The sequence below is a fragment of the Homo sapiens genome, chromosome 15 (assembly GCF_000001405.40).
Source record: "Homo sapiens chromosome 15, GRCh38.p14 Primary Assembly".
In the NCBI taxonomy this organism is placed as follows: domain Eukaryota; kingdom Metazoa; phylum Chordata; class Mammalia; order Primates; family Hominidae; genus Homo; species Homo sapiens.
Window position 1 is genome coordinate 62,664,438 of NC_000015.10, and position 13,863 is coordinate 62,678,300.

The following is a 13,863-nucleotide window of genomic DNA, read 5'->3' on the forward strand; positions in this document are numbered from 1 at the left end:
AACAAGGTATTTCAGAATATGAATCTTTATATTTAAAAATATATACACAAAGAGAAACCGGATGTATTATTCTTTATAGACACAAGGAGATACAGGAAGATATTAAAATATCTGTGGAAACTAACTTCAAAAAAGTGGCAGCTGGGCGCGTTGGCCCACGCCTGTAATCCCAGCACTTTGGGAGGCCGAAGTGGGTGGATCACCTGAGGTTGGGAGTTCGAAACCAGCCTGACAAACATGGAGAAACCCTGTCTCTACTACAGATACAAAATTAGCTGGGCGTGATGGTGCATGCCTGTAATCCCAGCTACTCGGGAGGCTGAGGCACGAGAATCACTTGAACCTGGGAGGCGGAGGTTGCAGTGAGCTGAGATATGCATCATTGTACTCCAGCCTGGGCAACAAGAGGGAAACTGTCTCAAAAAAAAAAAAAAAAAAAAAGTGGCTACCTAATAAAGAAAGGATATGGGATTTCCACTAATTCTGTAATCTCTACTTTAATAACAGAAGAGAAGTAGCAGTCATAAAGCAGATATGACAACATGTCAATATGTATTTCTCCTTGGTGGTAGGTATATACTTTATAAGGCATATACTTTTCTATAATTTGAAATGTTTCACACTCAACTATTTTTGTTGTTGTTGTTGTTGTTGAGACAAGGTGTCACTCTGTCACCCAGGCTGGAGTGCAGTGGCGCCATCTTAGCCTCCACCTCTCTGGTGCAAGCAGTCCCCTCACCTCAGCCTCTCAAGTAGCTGGGACTTCAGGCATGCACCATCATGCCCAGCTAACTTTTGTATGGGGTCCTAGTTTGATGCCCAAGCTGGTCTCGAACTCCTGGGTTCAAGCGATCCACCCTCTTCAGCCTCCCAAAGTGCTGGGATTACAGACTTGAGACAGCACACCCAGCTCACTTAACATTTTTTTAAAAAAAGGTGGTTGCAGTAGTCTGGGCTTGAAGTGATAAAACTTATATTCACCAAAGTTGGATATTTAACACATGGCAAAGGCAAAAGTAATAGGCACTGGAGGCCAGACAGAAAGGTTCCATGAGTCTGCGTGTTACGTGAAGAAATTGTCCAAGGGCTGAGTGTGGGCAGGCAGGTCACAGGCTTAGGAAACCTCCCTCATCCTTGACTCTCACAGCCCCGCTTCCTGTTTGGGAATTCCTCGGAAGTATTTTACTGAGAAAACAAAGCAACCCAGGGTATGAATCTTTGTTGAGAAAGAATTCACAGTGGACTTGGAAATTTTCCCCCACAAACTCAAGATAATTCTACTGTCAACAAGCAAAGCTTTTGACCCAGTAGGAGGTCTTAAGCCAGTTTTTCACTTGGCCTCTGTTCAAACACATATTCCTCCTTTGGAGTTGGTCATCTGTGTGTGCTTTTGTCAGAATAATTTGGCCCTTGATTCTCTTCTTCACCACCATCCTCCCACTAAATTAAAAGTAAAGTGCAATAAAAAGCCACTTGCGTACTTCCTCCCAGTGAACTTTTGTCTTGTGTTTCTGACAGCCCGGAGCTCTCCTATCCTCTCAGTATTGGGAGGTAGTGACCATTCAATAGTGTCTGTATTGTTTCATCCTAGCTGTCTTCTGAGGTTGATGCCTGTCTCCCTAACTACTTTCAAACCAGGAACCGCTGAGGGTATCCAGCCCTGAGCTGTCTCTGAGTTCCTGGGCAGTGGCGTGTCCTTATATTAAAGGACATTTGGATTGGTTCAGGATGACAGAACTGCTGTGTGACCAAGATAGGTCTTCAAATCCAGTTCTTAGTTTCTCCCATGCTGCTGTGGTTTGAATGTGTTCTCTCCAAAATTTGGGTGTTGTCAGTGTGATAGCGCTAAGAGGTGGGGCCTCAAGACATGATTAGGTCATGAGGGCTTTTCCCTCATGACTGGGATTAAGGCCCTTAGAAAAGAGGCTTCACGCAGCATTCACCTTGCTTGGTCTTCTGCTCCTTTGCCTTGTGAGGACACAGCCTTTCTCTCCTCTCCAGAGCATGCCACCCATACCAGACAGCTGAACCTGCCAGTGCCTTGACCTTGGACTTCCCAGCCTCCAGAACTGTGCAGAAATAAATTTTCTGTTCTTTATAATTGAATTATAAATTATAGAATTAAGTATAATTGAATATAATTAAAAGACCGGTCATTACCCAGTCTGTGGTATTCTTTTGCAGCAACACAAACTGACTAACAAGCTGTTTTCTGTTTCCACTTTTTCTTGCCACTCTAGGCGTTTCCCAGCTCACTCAGTGCTTCCCTCCACCTGTGTTATCACCTCACTTAACCAGAACTTCAGAACTTAACTGCTACACTCAGTTGCAGACATTTTGACCTTTGAGTCTGGATTCAAATCCAAGTGTGTTTGAATCTGTAATTTGAGCTTTCAGCCCACTGTGTCAGTGGTTCTCCAACTTCATCTGATCAGAATTATCTAAAGGGCTTGTTACAAGATGCCGGGCCTCACCCCCAGAGCCTCTTATCCAGCAGGTGTGGGATGAAGCCTGAACACTGGCATTTCTTTTTCTTTTTCTTTTTTGAGATGGAGTCTCGCTCTGTCGCCCAGGCTGGAGTGCAGTGGCATGATCTCGGCTCACTGCAAGCTCCGCCTCCCGGATTCAGGCCGTTCTCCTGCCTCAGCCTCCCGAGTAGCTGGGACTACAGGCGCCCACCACCACGCCCGGCTAATTTTTTGTATTTTTTAGTAGAGACGGGGTTTCACCATGTTAGCCAGGATGGTCTCGATCTCCTGACCTAGTGATCCGCCCGCCTTGGCCTCCCAAAGTGCTGGGATTACAGGCGTGAGCCACCGTGCCTGGCGAACACTGGCATTTCTGTCACATTCCCAGGTGGATGCTGCTGGTCCTGGGGCCACACTCTGAGAAGCTTATGTGATACCAGATTTGACATGTTGTTGTTAATCATTTGGTGATTCAACAACACAGTTGGAGTCAGGATCCTGGGTGTTCCAGCATCCTTTGGGTGATGCTGTCCCTATTGTACCTCCACCATCCCTCCCCTCTGTTCCTCTACCCTGTGCTGAGTGGATACTCTGCTGCTTTGTTTGTATGTTCATGTGGATCCCCTCCGCTCTCACAAATGAGGCGACATCCCTTGTTTTCAATTCGTATGAGCGATAACACTCATAGGTTGTAAGCCTCTCCTTTTCAAGTGATAAAAACCAACTTAGAGAAACGGTGACTTCCCTGTGGTCATGCAGTGACTTGATGGCAGCCCTGGGACAGATAAGAGGCAGTTCACATTTCTCCAAATCATTGCTGCTTCCCTGTGTGCTTGTAACTTACGGTCAGACTAGGAAACATCTTTGGAACTTCTCTTTTGGAATTACTTGTAGAGGCAGCTTAAATTTTACATAAGAAAATGAGGTTCGATTATGTACACACAGTGAAATAATATTTAGCCTTAACAGTGAAGATACTGCCATTTGTGACAACATGGATGGACCTAGAGGACATTATTATGTCCTCTGAGTGAAATAAGCCACACAGAGAAATGAAAATACTGTGTGATCTCACTTATGTGGAACCTTAAAACATAACAAAGAACTCAAATACATAGAAACGGTAGGAAAGTGGTTACTGAGGGTGGGGAAATGGGGAGATAGTGGTCAAAGGGTACACAGGCTCAGTTACATAGCATAAATAAGTCTAGAGGCCTAATGTTCCTTATGTACAGTGTGAGGGCTATAGTTGATACTATTGTATACTAGAAATTTGCAAAGAGTAAATTTTAGGTAATTTTACAAAGGAAATTTACAAAGAGTAAATTTTACCACACACATAGAAACTGAGATGATGGTTACATTAATTTGCTTGACTGTAGAAATTCCTTCACTATATATTATATGAAAACATCACGTTGTATTCTTTGAATATATACAATAAAATAACAAAATTGCAACTCATCCTTCAAATAGTAGAAAATGAAGTTTTGGTGACATCTGTGTTTGAATTCAGATCCTGCTCCCCTAAATGTGTTAAATTCCCCTTCCCTGATTCCACTGGCTTCTGGGCATTTCTATAAAACTCAGTGGCCACCACCTGGTCTTCATTGTCATATTCTGATTATTATTTTATTCCACAGGGTCTGAAATACTGATCACGTGGGATGTTGTTTGCCTACAGGGTAACTTGGAGGGGTCAGGGTGCGTAGTGGCCCAGAGCATGGTCCCCAGTGCCCACGGATGAGACGGCGTGTGTGCTGTGACCCTGGGCAACTTAGCATCGCTGAGCCTCAGAGTCAGTGTGTAGAATTATCTAAAGGGCTTGTTACAAGATGCCGGCTTCCCACGGCTTTTGTCAGTACTCAGTTAATCTGCTGGTGCTTGTAAAGCACCTGAAACAGGGTTTGGCCTTCAGAAAATGGCAGCTGTTTTAATTGTAGAAACTCTCTCTCAACCTGGTTTGGACTATTAGTTGGATAATCCAAAAAGTCATTTAAAATGTAGAATCATAACAGGTGACATGTACCACTTGAAACCCATTATTCTAACTTTGAACTTACACATTTGTTGCTACTGTTTTGATGTAGGGCCAAGGTTTTTTCTTGTGTGCATCTCCTGATTGGATTTCTGCAGTGTCTTGCATGAACCATGCATAATGCATCATCTGTGAAGGAATTTAAAGACAACCATGAAGCAATCTGAGGACAGAATATCTTTAGATTTCCATGATTTTTTTCCTTTTCAGTATTTGACAGCTATCTATATGTCATTTGATACATTTTACAACTATTACCCTTAGGAAGAATGCAGTAGCTCAATTTTTATACTATTTCAGCAGCTCATGGGCTATGTCAGTGTATCATATAATCATGTGCTCTCCAGCCAGCTGCAACAAATTGGAGAACAAATACAGTGGACTTGACCAGAGCAGAAGTCAGGGTTTGTGAGAGAGGAGTCTGTTGGCTGCGAACTTTCAACCTCTCATGGATCTTACTGAGTCTATTAGAGATTAGTGTACTAACTTTACTGGAATAGAGGATCTGCTATTATGACTGCATTCAGAAAGGGCCATGCTTAAAAGGCTGGCAGTAGGGTTTGGCGGAGAAGTGAGTTCTCAATGCACAGTTTGTAGATGGCTGCCCTTTTAAGGTGAGAACAATTTAAGGAGACAGTGGGAGGGATTTTGCTTGACCAGAACTTGCTTAATTAGGAAAATTTCCAATCAACTTTGATAGTCTGACCCATTTTTTCTCTGACAAGGCTGACAGATTGCACTTGTATACATGTCCCAGATGTTAGGAACCTTCCAGACTCAGGTTTGGTAATCAAAACAACAACTGAGCTGGAACTACTGCGCTGCTGGCTGGCAGGCCTTGATGACACCCTGCCTGCTCCGTGCTGACATGGCACCCACACACGGCTGATTTACTGGGGAAAATACATGCCACACACATGCACACACTATTCATATCTTAAAATGGTTTTTAAACTCCCCACAAACCGATTCTTGAGACCTCAGGGGTAACACCTCTAGTGCACCTTCTGATGTTGGTTTTAGTAACTCCTGAAGACTGCATAGGAGGCAGATTCGGATGGGCTGGTTTGGCGGAGTTTGAAAGAAGGGCGCTTGCTGCAGTACAGGACTTTCTTGCCAGTGGTGGTCAGCATATTCTACCCCTGCTGGTCCCCTGGACACCACCATCTGGTATTCTTCTAGTGACAGCCATTGCTCTGAGAGGGCTTGACATGGAGCCCTTTTTGGGTGCTTTTGTTAACCTTAACCACGTCTCTGTTGCTGATGGAGGAGCCAATGCCTAGAGGCTGGCAGCAACGGTTCTCTCATGATGCCACTTCCTTATTTTAAATGGGCCCCTGGAGAAAGCCTGAAGCAGCTGTGTGTTCAGGTGGACCCACTTTTGTTCTGGGAGGTCAGAGGCTCTCTGCTACTTACTCACAAGTCCTGTGCCTTCAGCTAAGTCTTTACCTCTCTGAAACTCAGCTTCCTCTTTTGTGATGTTGGTGCCGTCCAATTCTCTCTGAATCATTCATTTTTGCCCATGGAGTTGCTTAATGATAATTTTAATATCTAAACTGCTGCAGATTAGATATTTCTTAGATCCCTCCTTCTGATGAACTTGGAATCTCTCTTTTTTTCTTATTAGTGAAATCATACAACTGTTCCTTTGTGACTGCCTTCTTTCCCTTAGCACAGTGTTTCCATGTTGTAACATATTTCAGTACTTCCTTTAGATCCAAATGATGTTCCATTGTATGGAGAAACCACATTTTATCCATTAGTTGATGGACTTTTGAGTTATTATCATCTTTTGGCTATCATTAATAATGCTGCTGTGAACGTTTGTGTACAAGTTTTTGTGTGGGAGTGTTCTCATTTTTTTCTGGGCATATGTCAAGGAGCAGAATTGCTGTATAATATTTTAAGGAACTACCAAACTTTTTTACAGCAGCTGTACCATTGTACATTCCCGCCAGCAGTGTATGAGGGTTCCAGTTTCTCTATGCCTTTGTCAACACTTGCTGTTGTCCATCTTTTTTATTGTAGCCATCCTCGCGGGTATGTATTGGTATCACATTGTGGTTTTTCTTTGCATTTCCCTGGTGGCTAATAATGTTGAACATGCTTTCATGTGCCTATTGGCCATTTGTATCTCTTCTTTGGAGAAATGACTGTTCATGTCCTCTGCCCATTTTTAATTGGGTGTTTGTCTTTTCATTATCAGTTAAAGGTTTTTTATATATTCTGTATATATTGTAATTTCCTCATACATAATTTGCCAATATTTTCCCCCATTCTATGGATTGTATTTTCGCTTTCTTGATGGTGGTATCTGCAATTTAAAAGTTTATAATTTTGAAATAGTCCATTTTATTTTTTTTCTTTTACTACATGTGCTTTTGGTATTGTATCTAAAAACTCTTTGCCTAAATCAAGTTTGTAAAGATTTACTCCTGTATTTTCTTCTGAGAGTTTTATAGATTTAGCTATTACATTTAGGTCTGTCATAGATTTTGAGTTAATTCTAGTGTATGGTGTGAAGTAGGGGGTCCAATTTCTGTCTTTTGCATGTGAACATCCTGTTGTCCTAGCACCAGTTATTTAAAAAAGTATTCTTTCCCCACTGAATTGTCTTGGAACCCTTGTTGAAAATCAGTTGACTGTAAAGGTGAGGGTTAATTTCTGGACTCTCAATTCTATTCTATTGACCTGTGTATCTGTTCTTACATCATTACTGCACTGTCTTTGTTACTATGGCTTTGTAGTAAATATATTTCTTGTATCTCTTTTAATTTATTATTATGTCCTCCTTTTCACCACTACTACCAAACTATTTATTTTTGAAGAAACTAAGTTATTTTTATAGAATTTCTTGTGTTTGGGTTTGGCTAATTGTATCCTGATGGTATCATTGAACATGCTCCCCTATTCTTCTTTTTGTAAACTGTTATTTAGATCTAGGGGCTCAATTAAATTCAGTTTCAATTATGTATTTACTTATTCTTTATTGCCAAGAATACTTCCTAGGTGGTGCTGTATACTTCATTTTGTATCAGTTGGGAGGCATATATTATCTGGTTATTCTGCTTTGATTAATATTAAAATTGATCATTGGGTTTAGATGTTATCAAATCCATCAATCTATTAAAAAGTTCCCGATCAAGTTGTTATTTTTTTGTCTTATAGCCGTTGAAATGTGCTTTGATCTATCATTTATTTCAGTAAGAGTTGTATAATGATGATTTTGGACTTCTTTTATTTTTTCTACATTTATTAGCTGTGATTCTTGCCCTCATCAACATTTAGAAACATCAGAATAAATACTTGTTTCTTTCTCCTCATTTACAGTTTTCAGTATGAGTTGGGACCTTAGCAGTCTCTTAAGGTGACCAATGATTTTTTAAAAAAATCTTTGTAGGTATGAAATATCTGTGCTTTAACTTACTGTGGTCATCCTTTTTCTGATGCTCAAATTGCCCCATCACATGGTATTAATTATATGATGTCTGGGATTTGCTTCGGAATAATCCAGGGGAGGTCAGTGGGATGGGGAAATAGATGAGTCATGATTGGCCATGAGTTGATAACTCTCGAGGCTGGATGGATGGGTTTATTATTTTGTTCTCTCTTTTTCAATATAAAGTTTTAAATCATCCAATTTTTGGCTAATGGGAATTCACTGATACTGGCTCCAGTATTATCTTGGTAGCTTCCTTGGTTCAAGCCACAAGAAGTCCCAGGAACATTTTATACATTTCCTGCCTCAGACCAAGAGTCAGTGATTTATCTGAGACTCACTGGTTCCTTTTAGTGGAAATGGTATTTAGAACACCACCTGGCCTAGGCACCGGGGTTGGGGGGTGGTGTCGGGGGGTTGCCACCAGGTTGTGCTTGTTCCTGGCCTTTAAACTGGACATAGCTAGAAATTGTTTTTCAGGAAAAGAAAAATGAATCAGGTACTCAGGCCAGTATTTCTAGTTCAAATAAAAGATGCAGAATGTTTAGCCAAGTCTTTTTGCATTTTGTTTATTTTTATCTATTTTATGCTGAAAAGCTTGGTTCCTAACAGCAACCATAATTACTCATTTACTTTATCCTAATTATATGTAACATCCTACTTATATATAATGTAATATCCTAATTTAATTGTGTGTGTGTGTGTGTGTGTGTGTGTCTGTGTATAGACAGGAGGGAAAGTGGATGTTAATTTTAAATACTAATATTTTTACTAACAAGTCTACTATGGCTTATTTTGCCCATAATATCTTACAAGGGATACACAGTCAAAAGACTGTTTTGCAGTTACTTGACATAATTATTCTTCCTGTAGTTATGCTGTCAGCTTGATAGACGGTTTTAGTTTGCTTTAGATTTTTAGATGTTGCTTTTTTTTTTTTTTTTTTGCAATTTCATGTGGTTCTAAAGTGAAAACTACAATAAAAGAAATAGGCAAGTTTAGTTTCCATACTTGTTCCCTTCTCCTTGTTTTTCGCCTCTTCCATGGAGAACCATTTTTATTAGTACTAGGTTTATCTTTGTATTATTTTTTAAAAATACGTAGACAATAGAAAATAGTGTTTTTAAAATAAATATTTCCTTTGTTTCTTACAAAAGATAGCATACTATATACTCTTGTGCTCTTTTTTTTTTTTTTCACTTTACAATAGATCCTGGAATTTCTTTTTTCTTTAAATATGTTAGTTTGACCTTTTCTATCATACTAGTTTTATGTCCGTGCCCTTATTCAAGTGCATCGTAGGATATAGCAGTCTGTTATTAATTACTCTATAAAATATTGGGAGACTTAGTGAGTTAACTATGAGTTTTATTAAATGTCTTTGCTTTGCTTCTCATCATGGAACATGATAAATGCCTTTCCTTTTTAAATGTCTCTCTCTTAGTCTGAAGGAATTCCTGCCCAAAGAATATATCAAGCAGAGAGGAGCTGAAAAGAGGATCTTTCAGGTATTGGAAATGTACAGAACTTTATTATTCTCCTCACTCCCCATCCTCATTTATTAGTGTGAGGGGGCCTCTGCGCATGGTAGTTTTATACCTCGTGCCTGTACTCTGATATAATAAATGATTAGTGACTCAAGAGTATAGAAGCTGACAGTCCTACTTTGGGCAGATTTATTATCTTAATCCATATTTTCTTGCTAAAGGTTACCTAGCCCTTCTGAGAAAAATGTGCATACATTTAATTTCAAAGGCATTATCTTGGTAACATTGAAACAAGGTGATAGACTGTTAACATGCATTGAGGAAGGATCTACAAGTAGCCTCTTTGTCCTGAGATTTGTTTTTTGAAAGTGGAATTTGGAAATTAGTGCCTTTTAAAAATCCAGAATTATCCTAAAAGTCAGAGACTTGTCCAGTCTACGCAACCAGTAAGAAAAGCCTTAACACAAACTTTGCCATGAAACACTCTAAGGAATCCAAGATACCAAAGTCTACTTTGATCCTGAAATGTAAATATAAATTAAAATACAAATTTCATGCGTATAAAACATTCTTTTCTCCAGTATTGTTTCTGAGTACTATCGTGCACAGGCGTGTATTTACCCTATTCTATGGAAAACGATATTTTTTTTTTTTTTGAGACAGAGCCAAGACGGAGTGCAATGGGGCGATCTCAGCTCACTGCAACCTCCGTACCTCCCCCCGCCCTGTTCAAGTGATTCTTGTGCCTCAGCCTACCAAGTAGCTGGGATGACAGGCATGTGCCACCACACATGGCTAATTTTTGTTTTTTCAGTAGAGAGGGGGTTTCACCATGTTGGCCAGGCTGGTCTCAAACTCCTAATCTCAAATGATCTAGCCACCTTGGCCTCCCAAACTGTTGGCATTATAGGCATAAGCCACCACACCCAGCCAATACATTGAGGATGGATGTTAGAATGACACCTCTCCTGATAAGAACTTTTTCTTGGTATCATTTAAAGTCTTGGCTCTCAACCATTTGGGACGTGGAGTCCTTTGACAATGTGATTACAGTTATGGACCCTGTTCCCACCACACTGCATGTGTGCATGGATTGTCACATTTAGTTGTGAAGTAATGTAGGCTGTTTGGGCTCAAACTCTGGTTTGAAATCCCTGTGTTAGAACTTCCTGCATGCTCTGATCCTTGGTCAGCAGTTGCCTGTGTCATGGAGGGGTCTCAGACACAACCATCACTTAATGATCATTCCTAGCCATTTATCTCCACCACATACAGTAACTACCTCTCTCCAAGTCCACCTGCTGGCAGAGATGCAATAACTGGTCCCGACCACTGTCACTTTTGCAGGAGCATAAGAACTGCGGAGAGATGAGTGAGATAGAAGCCAAGGTCAAGTACGTCAAACTCGCACGGTCCCTCCGCACATATGGCGTGTCCTTCTTCCTGGTGAAGGTGAGTTGGGCAGAATGGGGAGAGTGTTCACCTTGGCCCCTTCTTTTTTCTTTTGTTCAAGCGTTTGCTGTTAAGCCTGGTTTGTCCTGCTCACCCCCCTAGCATTTGCGGGTGGAACATCTGGCTAGTGCTGACCTGCGTTTAGCTGCCGCACAGGCATGAGGGGTATGACCTGCAGGCTGGTGAGTGAGCGCTGCTGTCCAGGAGCCCCTGGGCAGCTGGGCTTTGGCTCAGATCACTGTCAAAGCTATAAAGTCCCTGAAGGAGTGAGTTCACTTTTACTTGTTATTCCTTCTCCTGACAATGTTTCATTTATGACTGTCAAGAGTCCTGTGGACTAAATGAAGGCTCTTCACCACTGCAGACCAAATCGAATTCATGTGATAAATGCGATGCTTAATTTGTATACTTTAAGACAGGGCTTGGGATTTTACGGCCTTCAGATCTGTTTTCATGGGAATTGTCTGTTTTCCTACTAGAGGAAAAGAGGCGTGTTTTTGAAATTGTACCTGTGAGCAAGTCCAGGTTGGCCCTTGATGGGTGTCATCTTCACTTGACTGACAAATCCTCTGGTTATCTTTGTTACCCCTTTGCTTTTCCTAACCTCAGGAAAGTGATACGCTGTTTAGTTGTTTAACTATTAGGTTTCACAGATTTCTGCTTGTTTTGCTTTGACCCCTTTGGCCTCTCGCCTGGGGCCGTGGAGAAAGCTCTAACTTATAGTCAGTCTTCTTGTGTTGCTTTCTGCAAATGGAAGCAAACCAGCCGTGTTGCGGCTGCATCCAGGGACTGAAGTAGGAAGGACAAAACTGACCAGACTAAGAAGGTGTCTTTCCCCACAGCCAAAGAGAACTGCAAAAGAAGAAGTTACGTTGTCCTCTAAGATGTTTTTCTTGACCCCACTCCTCATCGGAGCAAGCTGCCTCATTTGGAGAGAGGAGATACCAAGATGTTATGCATCAGAAAGCCATATACTGCATGCTGATTAGTTATTAATACATTAACCAAACTAGCTCTCAGTTTTACATCCAAAATCGCTGGGGCCTTTGCAATGAAGAACGTATACATCAGTCACCTTGTTTTTAAGAAAAATAATTGAGAGGTCGAATCTTTTACATTTAGTGGCAGTTTTAAAAGATCAGTGAGTATTTAAATGGCACTGGTGCCATCTAGGTAACAGTGACTCCACTTACCAATATTAATAATAACAGCAATAATGTTTAGTAAACAGCCATCCATCAAGCTTATCTCATTCAAAGCTATCAACAACCCAAGGGTAAAACTACTACTACTATCTTCTTTTGTTTTTTGGAGACGGAGTCTCACTCTGTCGCCCAGGCCGGAGTGCAGTGGCGCGATCGTGGCTCATTGAAACCTCTGCCTCCTGGGTTCAAGCCATTCTCCTGCCTCACCCTCCCAAGTAGCTGGGACTACAGGCGCATGCTGCCACACCCGGCTGATTTTTTGTATTTTAGTAGAGACAGGGTTTCACCGTGTTGCCCAGGCTAGTCTTGAACTCCTGAGCTCAGGCAGTCCGCCCACCTTGGCCTCCCAAAGTGCTAGTATTACAGGCGTGAGCCACCGCACCCTATCTTCTTGTATAAGTGAGAACACAGAGCCCCAGCTAGATCCATTGATTCAGTGGGGGCCATAAGGCTAGTAACTGAAGAAGCCAGGACTTGAATTCACGTTTCCCTGATTCACAGATGGTGTTCCCAACCTCTAGCTGTACTGCCTTAGCCGGAGTGACCCCATTTGAGAGGTAGTCACCTGCTTCCACCGTTCTAGCTTCCCATCTGTGCCCTGAACACATGGGGAGATCTGCTCATTTTAGAAGGCGTGCTTTTCATTCATTATTGTGAAGGGCAACCAGTAGTAGATGAGCTCCAATGCCTTGCAGGGACAAAGATTAAACAAATTTTCATCATGTCCACTGATAATGGCATCAATTTCCATTTATTTTCTTGAGTTTCCCTGTAGTCCTTTGAGTATTAAATTCATCTCTTGCATTCAGATCATCTTCCATTAATACCATCAGGCTTCACACAGTCAGTTTCAGTGACGTGCTAAAAAACTGTTGTGCCTCTTGCATGTAGGTCAGTAAATTTAGGATGATAAAGAACATACAGAAATCTGTAATTAGGAAGAGAAGTTGAACACCAAATTGTAGAAAAAATAAATTTGTTCTTCAGTGACAATTTGGAACCTAAGAAAAATCGGTCCATGGTCACCAGGATAATTTGAGAGAGAGCAAAGATCTTCTCATTATAGCAGGGTCTTGCAGGTTTGATCAAACCAAATCTCCTTTTACACAATTATTTAAGGCAAAACAAGAACATGGTAGACTTTTTTTTCCTTTCTTCCTTCCTCCTTCCTTCTCTCTCCCTTTCCTCTCTTTCTTTCCCTTCTTTCTCTTTATTTTTTTTTAAAAATTACATCTCTTTGAAGAGAAGAAAGGATTAAGAAAGTAGGCAGCACTTGCAACTTTTTTTTTTTTTTTGAGACGGAGATTCACCCAGGCTAGAGAGCAATGGCACGATCTCGGCTCACCACAACCTCCGCCTCCTGTGTTCAAGCGATTCTCCTGCCTTAGCTTCCCGAGTAGCTAGGGTTACAGGCATGCACCACCATGCCCAGCTAATTCTGTATTTTTGATAAAGATGGGGTTTCTCCATGTTGGTCAGGCTGGTCTCGAACTCCCTACCTCAGGTCATCCTCCTGCCTTGGCCTCCCAAAGTGCTGGGATTACAGGCGTGAGCCACCACCCCTGGCCAAGCACTTGCAACTTCTATATACATATTAAATATTCAAATTGTTATTAATTTTATTTTTGTTGCTTTCTACAATGTTAATAGCACATTGCTCACTCCAGTGTTTTGCTCAGTGGGCCCATTAGTATGACATTTTATTTTATAATTGTTTTTAATATAATTTATGTGACCATAGTTTGCCTTATTTTAAAAGTGGTATAGCTAAAAA

At 41.2% G+C, this 13,863-nt stretch overlaps 1 protein-coding gene and 1 long non-coding RNA gene across 4 annotated transcripts in view; one reads left to right on the top strand and one right to left on the bottom strand.

The window, feature by feature from the left end:
* The window catches only part of TLN2 (talin 2), a 454,082-nt gene that overhangs the window by 273,888 nt on the left and 166,331 nt on the right, over positions 1 to 13,863 (top strand). For both annotated transcript variants that reach the window (NM_015059.3, NM_001394547.1), the window contains 2 exons: positions 9,390 to 9,453; positions 10,780 to 10,884. In NM_015059.3, coding sequence (NP_055874.2) covers positions 9,390 to 9,453; positions 10,780 to 10,884 — 169 coding nt within the window. The remainder of the gene's footprint in view (positions 1 to 9,389; positions 9,454 to 10,779; positions 10,885 to 13,863) is intronic.
* The window catches only part of LOC105370855 (uncharacterized), a 28,962-nt gene that overhangs the window by 5,374 nt on the left and 9,725 nt on the right, over positions 1 to 13,863 (bottom strand). For both annotated transcript variants that reach the window (XR_007064673.1, XR_007064672.1), the window contains one exon: positions 4,532 to 4,635. This is a non-coding gene — a long non-coding RNA (uncharacterized LOC105370855). The remainder of the gene's footprint in view (positions 1 to 4,531; positions 4,636 to 13,863) is intronic.